The 27,548-nt window shown below is 48.1% G+C and overlaps 1 protein-coding gene across 5 annotated transcripts in view, besides 8 other annotated features; it reads left to right on the plus strand.

Annotated features, from left to right (window-relative positions):
• Window positions 4,685–5,265: an enhancer, noted in NCBI's record as "H3K4me1 hESC enhancer chr18:55101332-55101912 (GRCh37/hg19 assembly coordinates)". NCBI's record gives its function as "activates a minimal SCP1, AML or CMV promoter by ChIP-STARR-seq in naive H9 embryonic stem cells {active_cell/tissue: H9 hESC(naive)}" and the evidence as "EXISTENCE:reporter gene assay evidence [ECO:0000049][PMID:30033119]".
• Window positions 5,266–5,845: an enhancer, noted in NCBI's record as "H3K4me1 hESC enhancer chr18:55101913-55102492 (GRCh37/hg19 assembly coordinates)". NCBI's record gives its function as "activates a minimal SCP1, AML or CMV promoter by ChIP-STARR-seq in naive H9 embryonic stem cells {active_cell/tissue: H9 hESC(naive)}" and the evidence as "EXISTENCE:reporter gene assay evidence [ECO:0000049][PMID:30033119]".
• Window positions 5,839–5,888: a silencer, noted in NCBI's record as "silent region_9478". NCBI's record gives its function as "represses an Ori minimal core promoter by ATAC-STARR-seq in GM12878 lymphoblastoid cells {active_cell/tissue: GM12878}" and the evidence as "EXISTENCE:reporter gene assay evidence [ECO:0000049][PMID:35858748]".
• Window positions 5,959–27,548, plus strand: part of ONECUT2 (one cut homeobox 2) — a 55,925-nt gene continuing 34,335 nt past the window's right edge. For 4 of the 5 annotated variants that reach the window (XM_047437947.1, NM_004852.3, XM_047437946.1 and 1 more), the window contains exon 1: window positions 5,959–7,529. In XM_047437947.1, coding sequence (XP_047293903.1) covers window positions 6,302–7,529 — 1,228 coding nt within the window. In that variant the 5' untranslated portion in view covers window positions 5,959–6,301. Of the gene's footprint in view, window positions 7,530–9,709; window positions 11,844–27,548 lie in introns of those variants that run through there. The other variant, XM_047437948.1, reaches the window with a different exon arrangement.
• Window positions 7,960–8,715: an enhancer, noted in NCBI's record as "H3K4me1 hESC enhancer chr18:55104607-55105362 (GRCh37/hg19 assembly coordinates)". NCBI's record gives its function as "activates a minimal SCP1, AML or CMV promoter by ChIP-STARR-seq in naive H9 embryonic stem cells {active_cell/tissue: H9 hESC(naive)}" and the evidence as "EXISTENCE:reporter gene assay evidence [ECO:0000049][PMID:30033119]".
• Window positions 9,472–10,227: an enhancer, noted in NCBI's record as "H3K4me1 hESC enhancer chr18:55106119-55106874 (GRCh37/hg19 assembly coordinates)". NCBI's record gives its function as "activates a minimal SCP1, AML or CMV promoter by ChIP-STARR-seq in naive H9 embryonic stem cells {active_cell/tissue: H9 hESC(naive)}" and the evidence as "EXISTENCE:reporter gene assay evidence [ECO:0000049][PMID:30033119]".
• Window positions 16,642–16,936: an enhancer, noted in NCBI's record as "tiled region #10477; HepG2 Activating DNase matched - State 5:Enh". NCBI's record gives its function as "activates a minimal TATA promoter and a strong SV40 promoter by Sharpr-MPRA in HepG2 cells {active_cell/tissue: HepG2}" and the evidence as "EXISTENCE:reporter gene assay evidence [ECO:0000049][PMID:27701403]".
• Window positions 16,735–16,879: an enhancer, noted in NCBI's record as "145 bp enhancer 78 fragment used in the MPRA reporter construct; PK_construct_993". NCBI's record gives its function as "activates an SV40 promoter by MPRA in HepG2 cells {active_cell/tissue: HepG2}" and the evidence as "EXISTENCE:reporter gene assay evidence [ECO:0000049][PMID:23512712]".
• Window positions 16,802–16,813: a transcriptional cis regulatory region, noted in NCBI's record as "FOXA motif; MPRA enhancer 78 activity is reduced when this motif is scrambled". NCBI's record gives its function as "necessary for full MPRA enhancer 78 activity {active_cell/tissue: HepG2}" and the evidence as "EXISTENCE:site-directed mutagenesis evidence [ECO:0005528][PMID:23512712]".

Consider the following 27,548-nt stretch of genomic DNA (forward strand, 5'->3'; position numbering starts at 1 on the left):
ACTCCGTCTGAAATTTTTTTCCATGGTAGCTAGACAATTGAAATTATACACAAAGATTTTTTAACTCTCGGATTTTCATTGGAAGGGGACGTAAATAGTTTTTGTACTAATGCCTAAACAATATTGGATCTTCAATCAAAAAGTATTTTCAGGGCAAATAAATGATAGTTTTAAGAGGGTAATAAATAAAAGCAACACCCGTGCTTAGTGTCTCAGGGCAACTTGAAAACAGCTCCACTTTCAGGGAGTTAAATTTGTCCTTTTTACAATCAACTGCAACTTTTGCCTTCCTTTGGAAAGGACGACAAAAAGATTTCACGCACAACTTGACCGGAACAAAGGGACATCATGCCAGTTTTTCTTTTGTGGGGTGACAACTAGAAGAGAGGAAAAGTTTATTTTAACCATACTTGAGTTGTACTTTTGGAACCCTCCTTTAAAGAGAAAATGTGACGGCAGATCTTTCAACTTAAAAATCGAAGCTATGGGGCTTTGGGGCAGAAGGGACAGATAGCGCGAGCAAAACTGAAAGTCGGTGAGGGGAAATTTTGTCTTCGTTCTCAGACTAAGTTGCCTATTTAAAATGAAACTTTCTTCTAGAGCAAAATCTCCGTTCCCCTAAGAGCTGTGCTTCCCCCACCCCTTCCGCAAAAAGAAGCCCTTGGGTATTTGCAGGTTCGAATCCTCAACCTTCCCTCCTTTGAATTTCATTTTCCCAAAAGAGTAGAATTATTTCTCCCACCAGCTTCTGCAGCGTTAGCATCCGAAAAATCGGGTGGGTGGGGCGTTGCAGAAAGGGTCTGCAGTTGGCCCCGAATTCGGAGGAAGGAAAGTCCCTGGAAGGGACCGCAGTCCCAGCCCCCAGTCCTGGGGACCGGTCCGGATCAGAGGCCCGGCCACCCACTTCCACCCAAACTCCTCACGGGAGGGGGCTGTGGAAACCCTGAGAGGGCAGGGAGCTGGAGAAGCAAAGAAATGTACGTGTGTGTGTGTGTGTGTGTGTGTGTGTCAGGGAAGTAAGCGGTTCCCGAAGACACAAAACTTCAACAGTCCCCTATCTATATGGGTAGAGGAGGGCGATCAAGGTCGGCCGCCCTGGTGTTCTTTTAAACTAGACAGGTGGACGCGCTAGCAGCTTAGCTAGGCAGAGCTGGGATTCCGGTTTCCCCTGCAGACTGACACTCCCTGGAGCAGGTGCCAAAGCCCTTTGGGGTGGGGTCTCCTCCCCTTTCCCCTCTCTCAAGCCTGCCCACTCTCGGCGTCTGGACTTCGGAGGAAACTATAGTTTGCTTCCCGCAGCCCTACTCCCCCACCTTCTAATCCAGGTGCTGGGCTTGGGGCTCGGAGAGAACCTTCCCCCAGCACGCAGGGCTCCTGTCGCTTCTTTTTCCTTTCCCTAAGAGGCCGGACAAGGGTGAGAACAAGACTAACAACCCCATATCTCTCCCTGCCCTCACGCAAAGTATCTTTTGTCAACCAAAAAGTTAAGGGCAGTCCCCTGCCAGCTCTGCTAACCTGGCGTTTTGAATTTTAACAAGATTAACGAAGAAGAAGGAGACAAAAAAGGACGCGTTTGGCCTCACCACCCAGAAAAACAAACAAACAAAAACTTTCCAAGATCCAACTGGCAAATCTGAAAAGTGACGGTGAATTGTGACAGTGAATTTCTGAGCTGAGAGGCCAAAGAGAATTAGTGGGGCCCGGCTTCGGTTTTAGTTTTATTCTCCCTGGGCTCAGCCAGCCCGAGCTTTCAAACAGAAGAAACCTGAAGCTAATGAAGATCTCAAACAGAGCCACAATTCCGAGGGCCCCTTTTCCGCCACAAGCACCCACTGTCCATCTGCACGTGTAATCACAGAGACTTGCCCTGTCTTCATTACCAGGGGATCCGAGGAAAGGGGAGAAAATTCTCTGTCGTGAAAAGGAACCTTGTGTTATCACTACTATTATTTGTGTATAGCGACCTAAGAGTTTCCTTGTCCTCTTCAAATTCCCCTACAATATTGAAACAGCATTTGTTGCCCCATTCTTACAAACGTTTGAGGCCTTTCTGGAAAACCATTACCATTCAAAGGCTAGAAAATTGCTCTCCTTCCTTTTTTTTTTTTTTTTTTTTAAAAAAAAGGCAGGCGCAGCAGCAGCTATAACAGATAACAAAAACTTTCTACCGCATAATCCTCGCCCTCAGAATGACAAAGAAATGATATTGACTTACCCCCGAACGGATGATGTGTTTGATAAGGGAGGGAAATTTTTTTTTTTTTTTGAAGATTTCTGTTGAGGAGCTGCACAGACAGCTGCAATTCATGGGCGACGCTGATTGCCAGAAACGCTATGGATTGGCATGGGGTCTGCAGCTCACAGATCCCTGATCAATACCCCTACACTAACACGCCAGATGGTTTGGGGAAGGACAAAAATAAAATAGTCCAAATCAACCCACCATTATGTTTTTTTGTGTGTGTATTGCTCTGATAACCTAGTTGTAGCATAAATGTGTTCTACCCTGACACAAAACCTGACAAGATTTCGAGCATTGGGGTAGAAATTAGCAGCTCTCCTCTACCCTAGATTTGGGTCGTGGTTACTGTTGTATAGTAAAAACAAAGATATTGGGCCCCTTATGCAGATTGGGTTTACTTGTGGTCTGTTTATCTTTTTCCGTGAATAATTTATAAAGTATCTCTTTTAATTGAATGTTCACCTCTCTGTGTGTGTCTCTCTATACCTAAAAACAATTTTATTGTGGAAAACACATACGAAAAACTCCGATAGTAAATAGTTATTTTCCTGCAATTGCTAACTCAAGTTCAGAATGTTTTTCTTTTACAGTGCAATAGCCTATAATAGTCTTGTTGTCGAAGCTGCATTTTATTTTCATGCTTCTTTTGACCCATTTAAGTTTCTGATCTTCAAGAAAATTGGACCTGTGAATGTGGCATGCTAAGTGAATATCCAGGTCCTGATATAATGCTTGGTACAACTGTTTGTCCAGATTCTAATAGCCGTGAATTAGCACTTATCATACCACATTTCTATACAGTGTGTTTGTAAATCAAATGCTGGTGGGGAGGGGGGAGAAGAGGAGTGTAACTTCAAATTAAAAGAAAAAATTCCAAGTTGCAGAACTTCTTAAGGTTAAAGTATGGATGCTAAACAAGGGGCAGTTAGAAAGCCACTTTCCCTTATATTTTCTTAAAGAACTATAGAGAAAGAAACATCAAAAATATTTCAAAAAATACTTGAAAATCGTATTAGTATTGATACTCCAAAAATTGTCTTGAAGTAAAAAACAAATATTGTTCCTTTTTAGAAAGAAAGAGAAAAGGGCATCCAAACCTAATTCAGTAAAAATTAGGGTGCTCACTAAACAAGCACATCCATTTTCCTTTTAAATGGATTTTGGGTTGAAACATAAAACCTCAAACCACCATTATAAAAACAACGTGAAAAATCTGCTTTAATTCTAGTCCAATGAAATTATACACAAAGAAGCCAATACGATTTCATGATTTCCCTGAGATCGCCAATATTGATCGAGGGAAGGCGGAGGGATGGTGGGAGTGAGGGAGGAGGGAGGGAGGAAGGAAGGAAGCGAGGCAGCGAGAAAATGCAACTCACCTTTCTGCTCCCAGGCACACCGAAATATAATTCCCAAAAGCAGGTTTATCTCAGTGTCCTGGCAAATGAGTTTAACATTTTGAAAATTTATTTAAATGGCAATTTATATACCTAGGTTTCTGTATGGAGGAAGCATCAGCCTAGGGTAACTGGCCACTCCTTGAGACTGAAGCCAGCAGAGCAGCAGAGGCTACCTTAGCACTGGGGCATATCAGACCCACTACTTCCCAGTTCTGCTTCTCTCCTGCTGTATTTCAGTCCCTGTGCACTCATGGACCAAGAACAGGTTGCACTCTCGTGAACTTTTGCTCAACTCAGTATTATATTTCAAACATTAACTGACTCAAATCATCCCAAGTGTCCAGATGCCATATATAAGGTAGGGAGTGCGAAGAGAGACAGTAGGAGGGGGTGAGGAGGAGAGGAAAAACAGAGAAACCAAAATCTGAGTTATTTTACCTGGCTCCTGTTGTGACACTAGAGATGTGAGCAACCAGAAAAGTATGTCTGGCAAACCAGAGGATCTGCCGCTTTCTTACTCAGGCTTTGATAACACAGAGAAGACGCTATTTGAAAGAATAATTGGCAGCGTATTGGCCAGAGCTCAATGAAGTTGATCTATGAATAACGTCACTGTACATTCATGTGACAGGGTGGGGGTGGGGGTGTTGCTCTGAAGCAAGAAGAGAGAGGAGGGCGGCAGAAAAGGTCACTGAGACTAAGAACTGTTTTCCAAATGAATCAAACCTTTCTCTGGCACCAAGAAGGGACATACAGTATTCCGAGCTCTGCCCTTGTTTTCTTATCAAGTTTTCTCTAACAGCTGGAAGTGGTTGAAGGGGGCTGTCTTAAGGAGACCCCCTGCTCTTCTTTTGACAGCTGATCAAAAGAAAATAGGTCACGCTTCTCAAACTTATGTCCACCCTGTCCTTAATTACTGTCTCTTTAAACAAAGGCAACATCTGCGCAACCTCAGCTAGCTTGAATCTTCGGAGGCAAACAGAGCGCAACCTGCTTTGGAAGAATCTTGTTACGTTTAAGGCTTTATGCCGGGTGTTGGCCTCTCTGTCTTCAACTACCCCTCCACCCCGACTCGGACTGCAGAAATCTCCAACTCTCTGTCCCCCAGTTCCACTCCCACCTCCAGACCTGGGGTTGCCAAACAACGGAAATTCTAGGAAGACGTAGGTGCGGTTTTTAAAGCCTTGGCTTGTGAGCGTTCTCAGGCTGGCCGGGGCGCTGGTCTTTTCAGAAACAAGGTTTGAATATGCAGGTGTCAGCCAGGATTCCTTGTCGTCTGCCCACCGCCGTTTCTCTCCCGGGATTTGAGAGAAGCGGGAGTGTGTGTGTGTGTGTGTGTGTGTGTGTGTGCGCGTGTGTGTGTCTCGTGTTAGGAGAAAGGTCCGTGGTTGCCGTCTCAGCTGGTTTGCTTACTCTCTGCCCCCAGGAGAAGTTTGCTCACTTGGGACACCAGCGACCCTCCTCACCTCCACCTCACCGGTTCTACACTCTCCCCACTTCTTTCCAAGTCGCTGATGCAGAAAGCACTTGGTCACCTTGAAACGGCAGCTCCCGGAATTCTAGTTTTGTTTTGCAATCTAGCAGGGCTCTTCGGAAGCCTCATAACTGAGATTTATGGGCTCACCGGGTAATTAAATGATGTTATTGTGTTAACTTTGCATGCATTACTGCTGCCCGCGCCGCCCGTGGGCCGCCGGCCGGCCGCAGCTCGCTGGCGACGAGGGCACTACAGTTGCTCTGACCGCGTAGATTATGCATGTCCCGGCCTCGGGAATTTACCATGCATTAGAATACATTAGCGCCTGCATTTTAAAAGGCTAAACTATTGGCTCCCAGCTAGGGACTCTCGGTAAGTGGCTTGTTAGTGACGAGTGTTTGTCTATACTGGCACATAGCGGAGTCTTTTGCTCCCGGCTTACTCGCCTCCAGGAAAGCTTTGGGGTGAGGCGAAGGCGATTGAAGCAATGCCCCTTCCCCCAGATCGCAGCTGCTCAGGGGGGACACAGCACGGCATCTTTCACCGAATCTCTCTCGCTCGCTCGCACTCCAGCCTCCCTCTCCCCAGCGACCCCCCCACCTTCTCCTCCCTCCCTCTCCTTGACGTTTGATTCCAGTAGCAAAGGAGGTAAAAAAGGCACCGAGCCGTCAGCCAAACCTGAAAAGTGCGGCCCCGCCCCCTCCACAGCCACTGGTAGCTTCCCGTGGAAGGCCCGCCTCCCGGGGCAGCTGCGGCCTCGGAGTGGTTGCGCTTGGCGCCCGTCGGGCGTGGCCCCGCCCCAGGTCCGGGAGGGTAGGTTGGCTGCCCCGGCGAGCGGCAGAGCCCTTCTGGACAGCTCCCGCTCACCCAAACAGAAGACGTCGGCGCCGGAGCGGGCTCGGACATGGCGAGGCTGCGAGCCGGCCCGAGCGGCGGGGCCCGGTGATCCCTCCCTCCCTCCCCGTCCCCTCCCCTCTCCCGCACGCACGCCCCGTCCGCCCCCACCCCGCCCCCACCCCGGGCGAGCCCGCCCGCAGCCCGGGGCGCACACCCGCACGCGCACTCCTCTCCACTCACTCCCGCGCCCGCCCCCACTCCCGCAGCCGAGCCCCGCCACGCGCGCCTTGCCCGCCCGCCGGCCGCCCCCGCCGCCCCCGCCGCCCCCGGGCCCTGATGGACTGAATGAAGGCTGCCTACACCGCCTATCGATGCCTCACCAAAGACCTAGAAGGCTGCGCCATGAACCCGGAGCTGACAATGGAAAGTCTGGGCACTTTGCACGGGCCGGCCGGCGGCGGCAGTGGCGGGGGCGGCGGCGGGGGCGGCGGGGGCGGCGGCGGGGGCCCGGGCCATGAGCAGGAGCTGCTGGCCAGCCCCAGCCCCCACCACGCGGGCCGCGGCGCCGCTGGCTCGCTGCGGGGCCCTCCGCCGCCTCCAACCGCGCACCAGGAGCTGGGCACGGCGGCAGCGGCGGCAGCGGCGGCGTCGCGCTCGGCCATGGTCACCAGCATGGCCTCGATCCTGGACGGCGGCGACTACCGGCCCGAGCTCTCCATCCCGCTGCACCACGCCATGAGCATGTCCTGCGACTCGTCTCCGCCTGGCATGGGCATGAGCAACACCTACACCACGCTGACACCGCTCCAGCCGCTGCCACCCATCTCCACCGTGTCTGACAAGTTCCACCACCCTCACCCGCACCACCATCCGCACCACCACCACCACCACCACCACCAGCGCCTGTCCGGCAACGTCAGCGGCAGCTTCACCCTCATGCGCGACGAGCGCGGGCTCCCGGCCATGAACAACCTCTACAGTCCCTACAAGGAGATGCCCGGCATGAGCCAGAGCCTGTCCCCGCTGGCCGCCACGCCGCTGGGCAACGGGCTAGGCGGCCTCCACAACGCGCAGCAGAGTCTGCCCAACTACGGTCCGCCGGGCCACGACAAAATGCTCAGCCCCAACTTCGACGCGCACCACACTGCCATGCTGACCCGCGGTGAGCAACACCTGTCCCGCGGCCTGGGCACCCCACCTGCGGCCATGATGTCGCACCTGAACGGCCTGCACCACCCGGGCCACACTCAGTCTCACGGGCCGGTGCTGGCACCCAGTCGCGAGCGGCCACCCTCGTCCTCATCGGGCTCGCAGGTGGCCACGTCGGGCCAGCTGGAAGAAATCAACACCAAAGAGGTGGCCCAGCGCATCACAGCGGAGCTGAAGCGCTACAGTATCCCCCAGGCGATCTTTGCGCAGAGGGTGCTGTGCCGGTCTCAGGGGACTCTCTCCGACCTGCTCCGGAATCCAAAACCGTGGAGTAAACTCAAATCTGGCAGGGAGACCTTCCGCAGGATGTGGAAGTGGCTTCAGGAGCCCGAGTTCCAGCGCATGTCCGCCTTACGCCTGGCAGGTAAGGCCGGGGCTAGCCAGGGGCCAGGCTGCTGGGAAGAGGGCTCCGGGTCCGGTGCTTGTGGCCCAAGTCTGCGCGCCGAGTCACTTCTCTTGATTCTTTCCTTCTCTTTCCTATACACGTCCTCTTTCTTCTCGTTTTTATTTCTTCTTCCATTTTCTCTTTCTCTTCCGCTCTTCCCCTACTTTCCCTTCTCCCTTTTCTTTTTCTTTCTTACTCTCTCCTTGTCCCTGAGCTTTCATTGACCGACCCCCCCCCATTTCATTCGCCCTCCCCTCAATGTGCCAACCTTTGCCCTATTTCCGATCTTCCCAGGTACTGGGAGGCGGGATGGGGGTGTGCGTTTTCCTCTAGGAGCCCTGTCTTTCCAAGACCCACAGAAACCAGGACCTGCCCTTATTCAAAACCCCATGCACTTCAAGTCTCTTTTAGACAACACATTTCAATTTTCCGGGCTGACTAGTCTCCCTGTGCAGAGGCAGTTGAGAGGCTTTGCTCTGCAGAGGGAAAAGAGCTCTCTACTCTCCCACCCACCATATAGGCAAACTTATTTGGTCATTGGCTGAAGGCACAGCCTTGCCCCCGCGGGGAACCGGCGGCCAGGATACAACAGCGCTCCTGGAGCCCATCTCTGGCCTTGGCGTTGGCGCAGGGACTTTCTGACCGGGCTTGAGGGGCTCGGGCCAGCTCCAATGTCACTACCTACAGCGAGGGCAGGGTGTAAGGTTGAGAAGGTCACATTCACCGCTTTGGGAGGACGTGGGAGAAGAGACTGAGGTGGAAAGCGCTTTGCCTTGCTCACCGGCCGTCCTTGCCCCGGTCCCAGCGTTTGCTGGGATTTGCCAGGATTTGCCGGGGCTCCGGGAGACCCTGAGCACTCGCAGGAAGAGGTGCTGAGAAATTAAAAATTCAGGTTAGTTAATGCATCCCTGCCGCCGGCTGCAGGCTCCGCCTTTGCATTAAGCGGGCGCTGATTGTGCGCGCCTGGCGACCGCGGGGAGGACTGGCGGCCCGCGGGAGGGGACGGGTAGAGGCGCGGGTTACATTGTTCTGGAGCCGGCTCGGCTCTTTGTGCCTCCTCTAGCGGCCAAGCTGCGAGGTACAGCCCTCTATTGTTCTAGGAGCACAGAAACCTCCTGTGTGGGCGGCGGGTGCGCGAGCTAGAGGGAAAGATGCAGTAGTTACTGCGACTGGCACGCAGTTGCGCGCTTTTGTGCGCACGGACCCCGCGCGGTGTGCGTGGCGACTGCGCTGCCCCTAGGAGCAAGCCACGGGCCCAGAGGGGCAAAATGTCCAGGTCCCCCGCTGGGAAGGACACACTATACCCTATGGCAAGCCAGGGTGGGCGACTTCCCATGGATCGGGTGGAGGGGGGTATCTTTCAGGATCGGCGGGCGGTCTAGGGGAACAATTCGTGGTGGCGATGATTTGCATAGCGCGGGTCTTGGGATGCGCGCGGTTCCGAGCCAGCCTCGCACAGCTCGCTTCCGGAGCTGCGAGCTCAGGTTTCCACCCCCGATCCCCCGGGCTTTCCTCGCACCGCTGAGCCCAGCTTGTGGGGTGCACTCGACCAACGCCCGACAGGGCTGGGGAATGTGACAGGCAGCAGGTTCACCCGGGCTTGGGGAGGGGGAGTTTCCGCTTTGACAGCATTTTCCTTTGCCGTCTGCTGGTGGATTCCTATTCCCAGTCGGTAATCGCCCCGCAGTGTTGATCTAAGAAGGTAAAGAAAACTAGGTTTCCCTGCAAAGAGCCTCCCCCAAATCGGCGGACTCCGGATACTTTGAGTGGATTTAGAAATTTATGTAATCTTTCTCCTTTAGTTTATTTTTCATCCTCTCCTACAGTTTTCTCTGATTTGCTGTTGGTTCGGGGCAAGATAAAGCAGCCAGTAGAGAGCGATAATAATAGCGGCGGGAAATGAACTGGAGACTGGCTGACAGTTCTTAACATTTTGTCATAGATCCCCCCGAATGTCCCAGGCTGTCTCTGGTGGGTTTTAGTACCCGCCGGCTTCTTGGGCACCGGGGACCAGAAGGAACTTGGCAGCTGGTCTTAGGGGTACAGTTAAAGGCAGGATGACAGCTATTCTCCTGCTCATCTCAGAGCGCTGCCGCCCCCTCATGCCGGTCGCGCAAAGAACACAGCTTTTAAAAAACACGTGCCTTCTGCCCATATAGGTCTGAAAGTGATGAGGAAAGTAATGCTTCGCCTATTAGCGAGTTTCAGCTTTTAAAATGATCCCAAGCGTTGCTGAGATGAGAAAGCGTGGCATCCCGGGGGTCCTCAGCCCCACCCGCGCCCATGGTGCAAGTCTGCAGGGACAGGCCCGGGACAGCACTGCCCACGCTGCTAGATTTTCCGCAGAGGATCGCTGAAGCTGCCTTCGTGGGAGACAGAATGCCTCCTCCAGCGAGTGGAAAAGGCCTGCTGAGGACCCCGCTTTGCTCGAGCATTCAAATGTGTGTCTGTTTTATTACCCTGGGTTGAAAAGGGACAAGAGCTTTAGCCTTTTTATCTGGCCATTTTATCAGCAACTACAAGTGTGTTGAGTGGTTATTATTACATAGGAGGCTTTTCAGTTTGGGGTCAGTAGATCAGTCTCTTCAGACACTGATGCAGAAGCTGGGACTGGTAAGTAGGTATTATGTGCTCGGAGCGCTAGGGGACAGGAGCAAATGGAGAAGAAAAGCGGAGGCTTTCTCCGCCCGGAGTATCGATCGGAATCCCCGCCGGTACGCCGCAGAGGGCCCTCGCCGTTGGGCCCCGGGGGTTTAACAAGCCCAGCCGCTCCGCAGGCGGCTCGGCCGGACTCTCAGACCGGTGCCTGGAAGACACCGTCCCTGCCCCCCTCCCGCCAAACCTGCCTCTTCTCTTTCTCTCATAGGTTATAGGTTCCCTTTCTCTCTCATTTTGGCCCCGCCCCCGGGTCCTGCCAAACAGCCAAGCAGGCCGGGGTTTAGGGGGCTCAGAATGAAGAGGTCTGATTTGGCCAGCGCCGGCAAAGCTCACCCTTAGGCGAGGTCACAACAGAGGCAGGTCCTTCCTGCCCAGCCTGCCGGTGTAGTCACAGCCAAGGGTGGCACTTGAAAGGAAAAGGGAGAAAACTTCGGAGAAATTTAGATTGCCCCAACGTTAGATTTCAGAGAAATTGACTCCAAATGCACGGATTCGTTCGGAAAGGGCGGCTAAGTGGCAGGTGGTTGCAACCCCGCCCGGTCGGGCCTTCGCAGAGGTTCCCCAAGACCAGCCCTTGCAGGGCGGTTTTCAGCAACCTGACAAGAGGCGGCCAAGACAAATTTCTGCGGGTTCGAGCACACACTCTCGGGCGTTGGGCCCCAGAGACCTCTAAACCAAGCACAAACAAGAAGGGAGTGAGAGAACCCAGGCTAGAACTTGCACGGGCATCCCACTGAGGAAAAGCGAGGCCTCGGTGGCAGGCATGTTTTCTTCCGACGCCCGAAAATCGAGCCGAGCGCCCGACTACATTTACTGCAGAGGTTTCCGCCTCCAGTGAGCCCGGATCCCCCAGCGGCCTGCCCGGAGCTGGTCTCCAGTCCCCGCCGTAGTCCGACGCACGGCCCTCTCCTGGCAGCAAGCTCCCAGCGGCCAGTCTGAAGCCAATTCTGTTCAGGCGGCCGAGGGCCCTTAGCCAACCCACCATGATGTCGCCTGGGCCACCTGATGCCCGCAGCGGCGGGACACGGCCCGGGCAGTGCGCAGTGGCTCCTGCTAGGGGCACCGCGTGCGTGCTTGTCTCCCGCTGCGCCGGGGACGTCCTTGGGTGACACGGGCCGCTGGGCACCTCCCAAGCCGAGGAAACGGACCCCCTTCGCAGAGTCTCGCGCCCACCCCCCAACCTCCCACCTCGTTTCTCGCTGCTAGGGCTCCCGACTCAGCCCACCTCTCCTGGCGGTTTAGTTAGGGATCAGAGCTGGAGAGGCTGAACGCAACCCGTGCCAGTACGGAACAGACGATATGTTTGCCTGCTAGCTGCTTGGATGAATAATTGAAAAGTTCGCTGCAGTCTGTGCTTCGTCAAGTCCCGGGTGCCGGGAGAACACCTTCCCAACACGCATCAGGGTGGGCGGGAGCGGGCAGAGGAGGCGGGACCCGAGGGAGGAGAGTGAACCCGAGCAGGAGAAGCAGCCCAGGCAGCCAGGCGCCCTCGATGCGAGAGGCTGGGCATTTATTTTTATTCCAGGCTTTCCACTGTGTGGTTATGTCACTTTCTCAAACAAATGTGTATATGGAGGGAGATCGATGCTGATAATGTTTAGAAGATTAAAAGAGCATTAATGCTGGCAACAATAACGTAAACGTGTGGACCCAGATTTCATTGATCTGGAACTTGATCCGGCGCGTTTCCAGTAAGCCCGACGGCGCGCTCTTCCCAGCAGAGCGCTCACCAGCGCCACGGCCCCGCGGTTTTCCAGCGGTGCCGCTTCGCCAGCTCTGCGCGGGTTCTCCCGTCTGACCGCAGCTCCTCCCCCGCGAGGCCCCAGCCCGCCTTACTTCCCCGAGGTTTTCTCCTCCTCTCGCGGGGCTCTCTGCCCTCTGCACCCCCTCCCCCGACCTCTGCACCACCCGCCCCTGTGCGCACACACCGCTACTTGCGCTTCCGGCGATCCGCCTGGGCGGCTGGGTCCGCGAAGCCAATGCGCTGAACGGTGCCCGAGTCTTCCTAACTATCCTGTGCTTGGCCGTTGCCACTGGGCCCTGGTGACTAAGCCCAAGTTTGAAAATGACGTGGCTAAAGCTGCCTGCTAACGGCAGAGCTTAATCAGCCGCAGATCCCCTCCTATCCTCATCGGTTCTCGTACTAAAAAGGCTCACGCGCAGACTTTTTACGCAGGTGCATTCGTTGGACAATTAAACGTGGCCCTAGTAACAAAAGCCTGAGCTTCATCCCTCCGAGTAGCAGGCTCTGCGCTGGACTGGTCGGGTCTAACAGGGAGAATCTTGTGTCCTACCTTGGCTGGGACAGGAAGTAAGAGAAGCAAACTGGGGAACCCCTGCCCCACCCCTTCCCACCCCCTGGACGTCCTGGGCCGAGGCCCGGGTCACTGGCCCATCGCGGGTAAGGAGGTGTCCTGTGGAACACCTGCATTGACTGGAAAAGAAAGAACTTTAAAGCTCTTCCTTCCCGCTTGTGGGGGACACCACCACACCCTGCCAACCACTCCCCTGGCCAAATGGTGGCTTGTTTTTCCAGAAGGAGCACTAAGGTGAATTTTATGGAAAAAAAATAAAAGATCAGGGACCTAAGTGGGAGTAGGATGAGAACTAATTCTTCTGGGTTTTTTTTTTTTTTTTTTGAAATTATGAATCCCACCTGTTGAAGAAGGCTGAGCTTTTCCAACAGCGGGTATCAATCGGGAGGGAAAGCAGTGTTTTCCAGCCCTCTCCAAGAACAGTAATTAATAAGAGGAAGGAAAAGAGAGATGGGAAAGCAAATCGTGCATTGTTCTGCTTTGAGTTGAGGCAGAGGGTAGGCTGGTGTTTCTTCCTCATCTTCCCACTAGTGTTCTTCCTTAAAGAAGGGAGCTTTGGTACACCACCTTGGTTCCTAGTCAGAAAGTGCCCTACCGGACCCTTTTAAACTACAATGAGATAGCTGGGTAATCAGATATGTAACTAAGGAGGAGAGCAGGTGGTTTCCCTTTGGTCTGGCGGACAACTGGCTCCCTCCCCACAGCCCCCACTTGAAAGACTCCTAGGCCCTGGGAGGGGCGAGTGGGCCTTTAGAGGATAGAATCATAGACTCTCTCCTACTCCCATCTTAGAATTCCAAGATTGGGCAGGATTCCTGGTGAATGGTGAGGTCTGGGCAAAGGATAAACTGATTACCCCAGATTCTCTGTCCCTACAAGGCACCAGCAGCTGCTTCACTCTCCTTTTGAGCCAGGTCTGCCCTGAGGTAACAGTACCCTAGGCCAGTTTTACCATCCCAAGTGCCAGACTTCAGCCCTGAGGGAAGGAGAGCCAGCCTCTCCTGCTGTCTTCAAACCAAGGCTTCATTTTACAGTCACCCCCGATATGAGAGAGAGCCTCCCCACCAGGTTTTCTGGCCTTTAGACACTTCTCTTCAAAGAAGAGACCAGAGGAACAGGACTGAAAAACTCTCAGGAAGAAAGTCCTGGGCTCCACACTCCATGGCTAGTGGCTGGATTTGGCAGAAACTGTCTTCATGAAAAGTGGTATCATGGAGGGGGATCCCTGGAGCAAGGAAGACCTCAAGGGAGAAGCAGAGAGATTTAGTTTCTGGGTTCTTGCCAAAGGAAGGGAAATTAGGAGGGAATAAATAGAAATAATTGCCTGTATAAAGGGCCCTGGGGAGGAGGGTGAAGACAGAGGCACCCTAGGCCTTAAACTTCATCTAGACTCCCTGGGCTGTGCTGACTTCTGACCCTTTTAGGGACCTTTGTTTTTGCTGACTTGGGAAAAGTTGCTTCCTCCAGGGAGACAACTCTTCTTAGAGGGGAGAGTCCATAATGAGGAAGCCCTCTGGGGTGATTTATTTATGCTGTCAGGTATAGAGCTCCGTCAGGCTAACTCACCCTGTGGGGCCCTATCACCCCCTCTTATCACCCAGGCTTTTTCCCTAACCAACCTCTGTGCCTTTGGGGGAAAGGCTTTTTGATTTCCCAGTCTCATTCAAGGCAATGGCTGAAAAATGTGCATAGGTTTTTCTAGGGGCAGGTGGGGAAAAGGTAGGGACGTGGATTGTGTGACCCAGCCCATCTAATGCCTGACATGGTGCAGATGGGCAAGACTTGGAGGCAGGCTGTGGGCTGTGCAGATAGAGATAGCCTCACTTCGGGAGCAGGATTCCTAGAAGCTGTGGACGTTTATTATGAAAAACTGTCCCACACAAATTGTCCCAAAGGGCAGGGAGGCTCTGCATTCCACCTCGGCACCTCTTTCACCATTTGAGGACCCATTACTCTTCTGTAGAAAGCAGACTTTGTTTGGGTTGGAAGCACACCTCCAATGTAATTTAATCAGCATTGGACTTTGGCTCTTGTAATCAAATATACATATACTTTCTCCTGCAAGAAGAAAAATAATTTCTCTGTAACTGGTATTGACTTGAAGTCATGTAATCTCTGGAAAGCATCACATTTTTAAAGGGAAAGGTAAAATTAAGGGGAAAAGAACCCGCAGTGTTAGTGGTTTGCTTTGTCATACTAAGAAGAGCCAGTTACCACTTAAGAAAGGGCAGAAGAAGCATTCCTAGAGCATAAATACTTGTGCTGCTCCAATTGTAGATATTTCATTTACAGTTTTCTCTGTGCAATCAGCCTTGGAGATGGTTAAGGATAGGAAACTAGGTTGACTGGCTCACCAAATTCTAGAATGTGGGCTTTATTACTTATGTTGCATTGACATCCTTGAAGGAACCTGTTTGACGGCTCATTTTTCTGCCGTATTTGGAGAGGCCACAGGCAGCAGCAGCTCCTTGAGTTCCAGCAGGATCTGGGTGGGTAGCAAGCCTTTCCTTTTAAGGGTGATTGGCAGCCATTGGCAGCTTGCTTCCCACTCCACCCCAGTGCCCTTGAGCATGAAGCTGTGCCCTACTGCGTCCTCCTGGAGCAAGCTTGGAGTCCCCACCCCCCAGGGTGAGGTTCTGGGCTTTGCCCAAGTTGAGTCTGCTAGGGAATCTGTTGTAAACACAGATCCATTGATTTGCATTTGTCAGAGAGTAAAGTTAAACCAGTGAAAAGAGAAGCCCTTATCCTTTTATGCAGGGCCAGGGAAACCTTTCATATTGATCCTATTGATCCAACCTTTCCCTTTAAGGAAACCACATAGTTAAAGACCCTCGTTCAATAGATTTACCCTTCGTGCTTGTGATATTCCTTTAAGTGTTCTCATCTAGGATAGCTGGGCATTAAGCCCACACTCCAAACCAAACAAAAATGGGAAGGGGGGTGGGAAGAGAGGGGGTCAGGAGGCAGAATTGTGGGAAGTGAAATTAAATCAAACTGAAATGTGTAATGACCCAGTTGGGGATGTTTTTCTCATTCTTCTAAAATGACATGCAGGGATAAAGACAAAATAGATGCATTTGGCATCTTTTTTTTTATGAGAAAAGAAAATCTGTTTATATGCCTAGAGTAAAAATGTCTCAGGAACATCATTTTCTACTGTAAAATTATTTCAATTAAGCCACCAGTTTGCTTCATTAAGATTGGTTCACTTAAAAGCAGTGATGTTGCCACAATTATTTTGGTTCATTTGTAGCAAATCAGAAAAAGGATTCTCCCCAGAAATGCAATATTTTGGACTCTGTATATGAGCATAAACACTGAAGTCACTTGAAAAGAGAGAGGATTTGGAGTTTTTGTGTTCTGCTGGATGTGGGAAGCAACGGGTAGAACTTTTGTTGTGGAGCAGAGTAGACGCAATAGGAATTGCCAGATATTGCTCAGTATCCCTCTTGCTTGTAGATATGAAAATGTAAGTCTCATTTGCCTCCAGAACCATCGGCACAATCCATTTCATTTCTTCCCTGATCCTTTTTTCCTGTCTAAATAACATCCATTTGTGATTTTTTTCAACACGGTACATGACCTGTTTCTAATTGGCTATCTCTTGGGTTGTTTTTGTACATTCATGTTTGTTTTATGTGATTGAAAAATATTAATGATTTCGTAGGTGAGCTAATGTATTTATCTGCTGAGCGAGTTCAAAGGGCAGAGTTCAGCTATGGTTCAGGTTAATTGAACAGGAAGCAGTGAGCTCTCCAGGCTGTGTTGAACAAGGGATCAGTCCCTTAAAATATCACACTCAGCAAACACAATTTCACTGTCTTCATCCTAGAGTCTGATGTAAAAGGCTCAGATCAACTTGGATCACTTGTTTAAAAAACCAAAGCAAAGCACAGTAACTGCAGCAATACCCTGGAGTCCCCCTCGGGGAAGAAGAGTTTTCTCATTGGCTAATTGCTTTATTGGTAGCACTGACCTGCAGAGCAGCTGCAGGAGCCTGGATGAAGGCTTAGGCCTCAGAATAATGTGCTCCATTAGAACAGGGCAAGGCATTTTTTGTTTACTCAATTGGAGCTCCCTGCAAAGTGCCATTAACCCCGGCCCAACTGCTTGTGTGCTGCAAAAGCCAAAGGTCACGCCAGTCAGTCTGTAGGCATAGCAGCTCTGCCCTGGTAGGAAGGTTGGGGTCGCATCCTGCTGGCACTGCCCTCCCAGGGGCTCGGGCCAGCCCTCTGGGCCCTTTCCAGAGTTTTGACTAAAGCAAGCAATTGCACAACTTGTTTACATTTCCCAACTGCTGAATCATGTTTTGATGATTAAACAGTTTTGATCTGAGCACCATCAATCACACACATACAGAAAATCCCCCCACTGCCCCTCTATTTTCTATTTATGTTCTCTTCATTACTGTGCATTACAGTAAACAGAATTGTGCAAACGGTGCTTTTAGCAGGAATATAGTTCTGATAAGTGCTTGGATCAAGGGGAAGACAGACCTCCAAACATGGCTGGGGGGCTGTTTGGTGGAAGAAAGGTTTCAAGTGGAGTCGGGGAGCACAGTCAGGGCTTCCACCGCCAGCAGGTGAACTAGAGTGCCACCTGCCGGGAGTCTTCTAACTGCACTAAGCCCTGCACCTTCCACAAGGTCCAAGCCCCTTCCTTCACTTTGTTCCTAATATCCTTGTCCCCATTCCCCACCCTGCAGATCACTACCCATGCAAGCATTATCTTCCTAGAAGTAGCTTAAAGGGCTTTTTCCTGGTCCTTTGAAACTGTAACCTCTGCCTCTTCTAATTCATTGCCAAGGAGAAATCAACAGTTCTGCTGTCATAGGTGAGGTGATTTGCCCATCCTGCACATTGAGGTAATAGTCTCCTGCTTAGTTGGACTGTGCTTGGGGGAAGAGAAGCAAAGAAAGCAAAAAATAGCCGTGGGAGGGAAAACGAATGATTATGTGTGGAAGAAAAATGGCTCCGTTGATTGTGCCAGTGAGGGCTGTGCCAACTGTAAGGTGTTCTGCAAAGATAAAATATTGTACAAAGGAGAGAGGATGGGAGAGAATTAGCATCTACAGGGAGGACATCGAGAAAGAGATATGCCAAATCAGCAAACTCGAGTTTAGGCTTTGTGAAATCCCCTGGAAAGAGAAAAAGTGAACCAGCCGTTTTGCAATTGCAAAGAAGTGAGCCAGTGAGCTAGACTTCGAGCCAGACTGTGGAGCTGGCTGTAGCTCTGTGGGTGGCAGCTATTTCCACACTTGCTTCACATGGACCCCTGCCTGGAGCCCCTGGTAGCAGAGCGCCTGTGGGTGGGTTGCTGCCTCCACGCCCCGGCGCAGGCTTCAGCACCACGAACAGCGCCATGGAGGAACGCTGTTTGAGCGAATTGGAGATGGACCCTCTACTGCGGTTAAATCCAGGCAAGAGCCTGACCAGTATCTCCAGCTCTGTAGGTCTCAGCGCCCCAGTGCAGGGCCTCATATTTTCCTCTGGAGCCCTGTGGCTTTTCAGCTCTCTGTGTGAGATCAGCGATAATAAAGGGAAGAGGAGGCGGCATCTGGGTGAGAAGACAAAAGATGCTGAAAGACTTTCCCTCTGAAGAGGAAGAGCATTACCACCGCTGGGGGGCGGGGGATTGAACTATTTTTCTCCATGTTGCTGCCTTCTGCAGGCATGATTGCCACCCTCAACGGGATGTTTTAGATTTAGGATTTCCTTTCAAGTGTTACTGTCTGCCTGCCCCCACGCCCCACCCCCCAGGTATACACAAACGGATGCTTTTGTTTCCCCAGATGCATGCTCCTGATTTTTGAAAGCATGACTTTTATTATATTAAACAATATTCTCACATTATAGCAGCAGTAATGTCACAAGGAGAACCAACTGTGGAGCATCACCACCTTCGATAAATCTAGAAACTGGATTTGATTTCTTGAGAGTCTAGTGATGAGGCTCTTTTTAATGAAAACCTTGCCACTGCTTCTGTCCCTGACCCCCTACGAAGGGCCAGAGATGTTGAGTGACTTCCTCCAGGCCACACAGTGGAGTCATATGGCACTGGCCAGGGTGAGAACTGACAGTAGGCACTGACCCCTGACTCTGGCCTTTTTCAATCAGTTGCTTTGCTTTATTTCTGGTTTTATTCCAGAGAAAAGAGATAGGAGAGTCCTTTTGGTCAATGATTGAGCACAACTCACATCTCTTTGGGTTTCGAGTAAAATGGTCCTTGACTTCCCAAAGCTAATTAAAATGTAAAACTCTTGCTTTATTTCAAATAACTTTAGTTCAGACCTAATTTATTGCTAAGGTGGTTCTCAGGGAGGTAGAGCATTGGAATAGACAAGTGTGTCTCCTTTAAAAGTCAAGGGTATGATAAATGAGAATTTTTTTTCCCCTGTGACAATTTATCTTCAAGTTCCAGGTGGCCCTTTGTGTAAAAGGAGGGAAAATCCATCCCAAAACAAAACAAACCTGGTAGAGCATTCAAATTTGATGTTGAAAAAAATTGTTTCTGTGTGTCTAAATGCCCAAAATTTTGTTCTAAAAATGAGCAGGAACATATCTGAATCAGATATAAAAATGGGTGTTAAATGTATTTTGTAAGCTTTGACTAAAGAAGTTTCTTCCAGCTGTGTAGTCTTCGAATCTGTGGACGTGCCTTTCTCAGGAGTTGTTGGGTTCCACTGTCAAAACCTTTTCCAGTAAAACATGGATTTGGCAACAGTAAGTGTAGCCTTTTTGGCCTACTTTATATGCATCACTGCATCTTACTAAAATGAGGCATTACACTCTACAAGGACTTGTACTGAATGCATTTCCTTTGTAGTGAACTCAATATGCTTTTGAAAAGATATTTTACAGAACTGCCACATAAACAAGACCTTTTCTATTATCTGTTTTGACCCTAAATACTGAAAAGTGTGTGGAGTAAGATAATTTTATGCTTTTCTGAATCAGTGCCATAGATCCCCAAACCTAAAAGATGTAGGGGAAAAATTCGTCTTGGATGCAATTGCCTCCTAATGTATACCAGAGTTCATTTCTGTTCATGTTCAAGGGACAAGAGTGAATTCTGTATTCACTTTCAATGACTAACCCTTCTCATCCTTTCCTTCATTCTTCTGAAGAGGAAGAGGTGGACTTCCTGTTGAAGACCAAATCCTCTCCTGCCTTCTCAGGACCCCATGCTTCCTGTATATAGATGTCCCTGCTTTTGTGAAGTTTTCTCTGTCCTCCTAAATTGGGATCTCTTTGGACCATCCCTCCCTTTGCATTTAGAACATAGATAGGTATCGCCTGCTGACTTGTCAGTGTCAGCCCATTAGATTAAGATCCAGAAGAGGAGGTTAGATACAGCATACAGGAGGCAGCCAATAAATATCTGTGAATAAGTTAATAAATACTTTTCTTTTATATGACACTGTTTCTACCCATTGTATTTCCCCCATATTATTGTAGATGGCATCTGAGTAGGAATCATCAGCCCCAGCACATCATTTAGGAGAAGCATTTCACAATGTCAAGTTCTCATCAATGTCATTTTCCTCCCAAATTACGATATTATAACTATGTATTAATTTTAAGGGAATCTCAAAGTAGGATTGAGTCTTATCCAAATCTTCAGATTATCGCCAGTGGAGCAAGAGATGTGAAATGATCATCACTAGACTCTAGACTAAGGACCCATTTTGCCAATTGGCTCTAGTTACCCCAAAGTAACCCTCCCCAGTCAGTCAGTTCTCCTCGTTTTCCTGCTCAGGCATTGTCCTCACTGTCCTGTCCATGTCTTTGCACGTTCTGTTCCTTCTGCCTGGAATTCCTTATCTCATCAGTCCTTCTCCAGGTCCTATCATTCCTAGCCACCTCCGATCTGCCTCTGAAATCTTCCCAGCTAACTTTGGCCCATTCCTTTCTGTTTCTTTCTGAACTCGATTTGCAATCATTGCAAATGACAGAACAGCCTTGTTGGCTCTGGTCTTACACTGCTCTCTAGGTCTTTTCTGTGTCTCCCTTTCTTCCCCATGGCTCTGGAGGGGAGATAGCATATCTTTGAGCTCCCCATGGACTGCTGGTCCATGGCTGAACCCACACCAGGTATTCTTTTTTGAGTAAGTCATTTGGTGGCCTCCTGTCTATCTTTACAGAAGCCCCTATTCTCAACGAGAGAATAGGTTGGGTATGTTTACTTACATCTATCATTCTTTTCTAGCTTCTTCTCTCAAAAGGGGGTATTCTTTTCTTATTTTATTTTTTTGATCTGGAGCCGTACTTTGTCACCCAGGCTGGAGTGCAGTGGTGCGATCTCGGCTAACTGCAACATCCGTCTCCAGGGTTCAATTGATTATCCTGCCTCTGCCTCCTGAGTAGCTGGGATTACAGGCACCTGTCACTATGCCTGGCTAATTTGTGTATTTTTAGTAGAGATGGGGTTTCACCATGCTGGCCAGGCTGGTCTCAAACTCCTGACCTTAAGTGATCCACCTGCCTTGGCTTCCTAAAGTATTGGGATTACAGGCGTGAGCCACTGCACCCAACCTGAAAAAGGGGTATTGTTTTCTATAAATGCTTTGGTCATTGTTGGAAATATTGGCTACATAATTTAAAATGGATTTCTATGTTAATCTGAAATGAGACATAAGCTTAATATAGAGAAACAGGGCTTGTGATGTCTTCGTTAATAGCAAAGGTTGTTCTGCTTCATACAAGATGGAAAATTTTACCCACCTCAGGGCAATTGTGCCAGCAATTATATCAGCAAATCAGAGGGACTGCTTTCCTATTTTAAGTCATTTTAATTATCAGTAAACTAAACTTGCATCTAAACAGCCATTACTTGAGATACTGCAAGTGCTTAGGTTGTTAATAACGTAAAGTTACCTGTGAAGAAAAAAAACAGAGGTTAATATTTTTATCTTTTTATTTTATTTTAATTTTATATTTTATTATTTTCCTTTGATGAATCCATTGCTGCCTACACTGTACTGAACTAAGTAGTTGGGAGTGAAAATATATGAACTAGCCCTTGTCCCTTTTTGACTTTACTGTATATTTAAGATTTGAATGGATACATCCTCACTTACCTTTACATATCCATATGGAATTGAGTGAGAACAGAGTTTATTACTATGTCAACTTTAGTTGGAAACTGAAACTAAGATCATTTATTTGCTATACATCTTACGTGGAAATTATATATTAGCTCGTGATATTTCATCTTTTTTACAGTTATGTTTTGACGTTCATATTACATGAGTAACAAATTATGAAGACTAACCATTTATGAACAGAATTTAGTGTTAAATGAAAGCATTCCAGATTTTTATTTTCTGTTGCCTTGAATTGAATGCATTGCTGTGCTGCATGATAACTAGGTAAGCAATTGACCTGTGTGACTGTCATTTCTGTGCCTTGCATAACCAAACCAAGTTTCCTCTGACACTGAGGCAGAGACAGGCAGGGTTGCGCTGGGCAGGAAGCAGCTCTGAGGCCTCCCTGAAGGGCCTTAGACTCCCAATGGGGGAGTCAGAGGCCACCCTGTTCTCTGGCTACGGCACCATAGCCTAGACATGGGTGTCACCAAAGGCTATACACTTCTTTACCTCCTTTTCTGCCCTCTTCCTAAAGGAAGCATCTGGAACCAGAAGGAGTCCATATCGCTAGCCCCACTCCTCCCTAACCAGTTCTCCATCCCGAGCCTTAGATTCAGGCTTGCATAGGCAGATTCTGGAAAGTCCATTAAAAGGGCAGGATGTGGAGTAAATAGGTGATTGGATTGGAGGGTAAAGGGCGGAAAATTCACAGCAGAGACAGGTGGACTTTTCTAACTGGATAAGCTACACCAACTCATGAATCCAAGTATTCCACCCCTGGAAAGCAAGAGGTGAAAGCAAGTTGGTTCCATTGGTGAAAGCAAGTCACCTGCCTGAGCCCAGAGACAGGGTGGAAAGGCTCTACAAAGTTACATGGCAGGAAGCATGGGCACAGAAAAGGCAAGCATGAGGAATGGGGGGGGCGGTGTTGGTGTTTTTCTTTGTTTGTTTGTTTTGTTTTGTTTGCATTCTACCTCATGCCATGTATTTTAGCTCATTTATTCTTGGAAGCTGCCACTGCTATGGTGATACACAGACATCAAGGATGTCCAATAGTATAGGGCTAATTTTGGCAACACAGAAGATAAGTGTGGGGGTATTTCACATTCATAAGTAACAAACCTATGCCCACCTGGACAGGAACCACGCCTCTTTGTATTGAGACTGTTTGTGACATGCTTGATCTTCTCGACTAGATCATAGCAAGCAGGGACCCTGAGCTTTGTTCTCCTGCATCTTCCCTTTAGCCCCACCACAATGCCTAACACATAGTTTGCACTTAGTAAATATGCAAGGATAAATGATCCCCAGAATCCCACTGCTCTAGTGTCCCAATGGGAGATCCCCTCAAGACCCACCAGGTGATTGCTTGTAGCTCAACCTGTATTTTATTTTATTTTATTTTATTTTATTTTAGAGACAGAGTCTCACTCTGTAACACAGGCTGGAGTGCAGTAGTACAATCTTGGCTCACTGCAACCTCCACCTACTGGGTTCAAGCTACTCTCCTGCCTCAGCCTCCCAAGTAGGTGGGATTACAGGTGCCCACCACTATGCCCAGCTAATTTTCATATTTTTAGTAGAGATGGGGTTTTGCCATGTTGGCCAGGCTGGTCTCGAACTCCTGACCTCAGGTGATCCACTCACCTTGGCCTCCCAAAGTGCTGGGATTACAGGCGTGCGCCACCACGCCTGGCCTCAACCTGTATTGTAAAATAGGGTTTCACTTTAAACTTTTAAATTTTGTTCTACTACAATAATTACCAAATTCCAGGGGAGCAAAGGTCCAAGCCTGTTGCCTACAGAATTAAGGCATCCAATTCAGATCTCAATTATTTTGTGTTAAGAAAATCTAAACAAAGCAAACACTGCTTAGGGTTTACCAATGAATAAAGAAGCAAGTTGGAAGGGATATCAAAAAGATCAAAATGTTTGCGCATTTATAACTTTAACAATGTCTAAGTTTTTTTAAACTTAGGTTCTACATCTGGAGCATACTTTTTTAAAAATCATAAGCAGTGTTAAAAAATACTTGACAGTTTTGTCTTGATTCTTAATGTGGGTGTTAAGGGATGCCGTCCATTAGTGAGTACACCCCAGATCATGTGTTTATTGCATCCTCCTTCTTCCCTGCCTGTCCCCTAATGATCTGGTGCACAGAGGGCTACTTGAGCTGAGTTATATGGATCTCAGTTGCTGTCATTTGCACATACTTAATTCAGAGAGGTGATCACATTGATTTCCAAGACCCAATTTTTAAGACACTGTACTCACGTAGATATCTTAGCTGCTCTGACTATGTTGTCTGAAAAGGAAAACATTTTAAGCCTTTGGAAGCAATTTTGATGGACATTTCATTGTGTTCTATATTACTCACATAATTAAATTTCCTTCAAGTCAAAGTCTGTTTAAAATTAAATTGAGAAATATTTTTGAGTTCCATCAGGCAGATAACTTTGTTTAGCTAGATTTGTTCTGCATTCACATGAAATGGCGTCCTACGAATCAATACCCAGTGCTCACAGTTCCCCTGAATGTGAAGAAATGGCACCCTTAGTAGTTCTTGTGTTTTTATGCCTATGGTTTTGCAGGCTGGTTTATTCAGATTCTGAGCATTGTGAACTAAATTCATAACTTCTTTCATGCATTAGCCGGAGTCATAGGACTCTGATTTACAGACTCGCAGTCCAGCTCACAGCGGCTAGCTTTCTTTGGGTCATACCAGAGTTTCATCTGCATGGCCAAAGGGGTAGAATTCCAACTTGGGTTTGAAAGCAAATAGGATAAATTGTCAGAAGATGTATTCCTGTGTACATCTTTGGAAACAAGACATAGGAACAAACCCTTATTTTTCAACTCCACCCACCCTGCTACTGAGGACAGAAGAACAAGCCCTCCTCATCTTTTATCCTGCCTCTCCTTGAGACAGCCATTCCATTAAATTCTATGGCGAGGGAATCTATGGTGTTCGAGCTGTAATTGAAGAATTAGCATTCCATAAATGCTGCCTTAATTTTTTTAAAAAAATTGTTCCAAAGAACTGCTTTTTGTTGCATTGTTAATTAGCCTTTGAACATTTTTGAATTCATTATAACCTTCAAGGTCTGCCAAGGTCTTTAAGGTTTCTTCTTTATGGCTTTGCCTCTAAATAACAATAGGTACATTGTAAGGTTATTGTGAGCCTTAAGTAAGTTAATGCATACAGATGCTTAGAATAACTGGTAAATAGTAAATACTTGCTAAAATATCTGCCATTATTGATTGATTGATTAATTTTTTGTAACTTCTCCATATATCAGCAGGAAATTTGGCCTGAGTCACCAATGTTCCCATAGCTTTTATATATTAAGAATATTGCTTGGCATTGTCAATGACAGCATGAGCCAAACAGATCCAGTTTGTATCTGAGCCACCATTTACTAGCTCTGTGATGTCAGGCAGGGGACGACTCTTGAAGAGCCTCAGTTCCCTCCTCTGTAGGAGGAGGACAAGGTAGGTCCTGACGTTATCTAGTTGGTGTACAGATTAAATGAGACGCCATAAGGGTATATGGCACCTGGTACATTGCCTCCTATCTCCTCAGTTTTACAGCTAACATCCTATTACACATGGGCCACATCTGTACTTCAACATAAATTTTTTGTCATTTTCTCAGATGAGATTTAGGATGAGTGAGATTGCCAGACTCTACACTCATCACTGGGCATGCTGTTTGCAAACTGGCCAACCATGCAGCCGGACTATTTACTCCCCACCCCCAATGTCCTTTTAAGACTCCCTTAACAGTTATGGACATTTTGCTAAGCTCGTGCTTAGAACCCAGAAGTTGACTGTGCACACAGTAGGTTCTGACTGAATCCCTACAGGCTTAGATTGGAATACAGTCCATTTTGCAAGTGTGGTATGTATTGAGCAGACATTCTGTATTTGATGGAAGTTCACATATAAAAATGGCAACTGAGCCAACAAAACTCACATCATCTGTCTCTATAATGATCACAGGTTTGGGGGGCCTTATCAGAAAGTTATTTTTATAGACACCCCGGTGGTCATGAGATTTAAAATGCTAAGGAGAATGGCTTCCTCTTTAACCTCTTTTCTGTTTTTGATATGTCTGGGCCCTGCTTCTTTATCTTGTTCCCCAAATCCATTCACTTAGGTTCTGACTTGGCTCCCTGGAGAGCTCCTGTTTTGGTTCACACCATCATCTTTATTCCCAAATTAGGATCCTTAACAAGAAAAGAGAAAAGAAAGAAAACCTGTAGACATCCAGATGTTGCTTTTTCTGAAGTAACAACTTTATTTGATAATATTTTGAAGCCATGGGCCACCGAATTCTCAACATGCAAGTTTATTTAAACAGTCTCTAGTATCCTTTCCTGACCCCAAATTACTTTCAAGCATTAATTGTCCTAGTGGTTTCATGGCCATATTATTTCATATTCATTAGTGTTTTCATGAAAAATTATAACACTAATTAGAGTGGCTTCCAGTTAATTCACTTGGTGATTCATTACTCTCTCCTTCTTGGTGATCTGCATGTGGTCATCCTGGAGAAAGCATCCAAGGGTAATTGCAGCTCTATTCCCTGAGTGATTGCCTAATGCCATTAGTTCTGATCCACAGGAGCATCTCGGGAAGCTCTGATGGGGTCTGGTTACAGCTGCACCCTTGTCCTGCCCTTTGGATGCAGGGAGAAAGGGAAGCCTGCAGTGAGGACTGGTCCTCCGGAGGGGTCTAGGGAAACAGAGGGGAGGGACGTCTTAGGGAAAAGGAAGTAGGGGCAGGGGAGGGAGTTCAGGGATTTGAACATCACTTTAACATCTTCTAGAACTTGGGTAAGGACAGTATAGAGTAAAATCTGCCCTGAGAACTTGCACGTAGAGTAAGGAAGGTGGTTTCTCTTCAGTTTCAGCAGACTTGTGGCCAGGCACTGAGCTGGAGTTTGGAAACCCGGTTCCCTCTCAGAGCTCTGACATCCAGTTCTTCCAACTGAAAGTTTATTTGACCTCATTCCCATTAGGATGGCTGCTGTAAAGCAAAATGAAAACAAAAAATAACAAATGTTGGCAAGGATGTGGAAAAATTGGAACCTTGTGTGCTGTTGGTGGGACTGTAAGATGGTGTAGCCACTGTGGAAATAGTATGGCAGTTCCTCAGAAATTTAAAATGTGAGTTATCACATGACCCAGAAATACCACTTCTGAGTATACACTCCAAAAGAACTGAAAGCAGGGTCTGAAAGAGATATTTGTACACCCGTGTTCACTGCAGTGTTATTCACAACAGCCAAAAGGTGGAAGCAACCCAACAGTTCATCAAGAGGTGAATGGATAAACAAAATATGGAGTTTTCATACAGTGGAATATTATTTAGCCTTAAAAAGGAAGGAAAATCTGACATATACTATGGTCTGAATGAGTCTTGAGGATATTAAGCTAAGCTAAGTGAAATAAGCCAATCACCAAAAGACAAATACTATATGATTTCACTTATATGAAGTGTCTAGAATAGTCAAACTCATAGAAACGGAAAGTACAATGGTGCTTGCCAGGTGCCTGAGAGAGGGAAATGGAAACTTGTTTAATGAGTATAGAGTTTTAGTTCTGCAAGATATAAAAGTTCTGGAGATTGTACAAGAATGTGAATATACTTAACACTATGGAGCTATAACCTTAAAAGTAGTTAAGATGGTAAATTTTGTTGTGTATATTTTACCATAATTTCAAAGAAAGATTGTTTGTTATTTATATTGTATTGCTTGCTCAATTTTTAAAAAAAATTAAAAATAGAAAAACAAAAAGCCAGGTGCGGTGGCATGTACCTGCAGTCCCAGCTACTGGGGAAGCTGAGGTGGGAGGATTGCTTGAGCCTGAGTTCTGGACTGTAGTGCCCCAGGCCCATCAATGTCCTCACTAAGTTCACCATCAATACGGT

Source organism: Homo sapiens, chromosome 18 (assembly GCF_000001405.40).
Source record: "Homo sapiens chromosome 18, GRCh38.p14 Primary Assembly".
Taxonomy (NCBI): domain Eukaryota; kingdom Metazoa; phylum Chordata; class Mammalia; order Primates; family Hominidae; genus Homo; species Homo sapiens.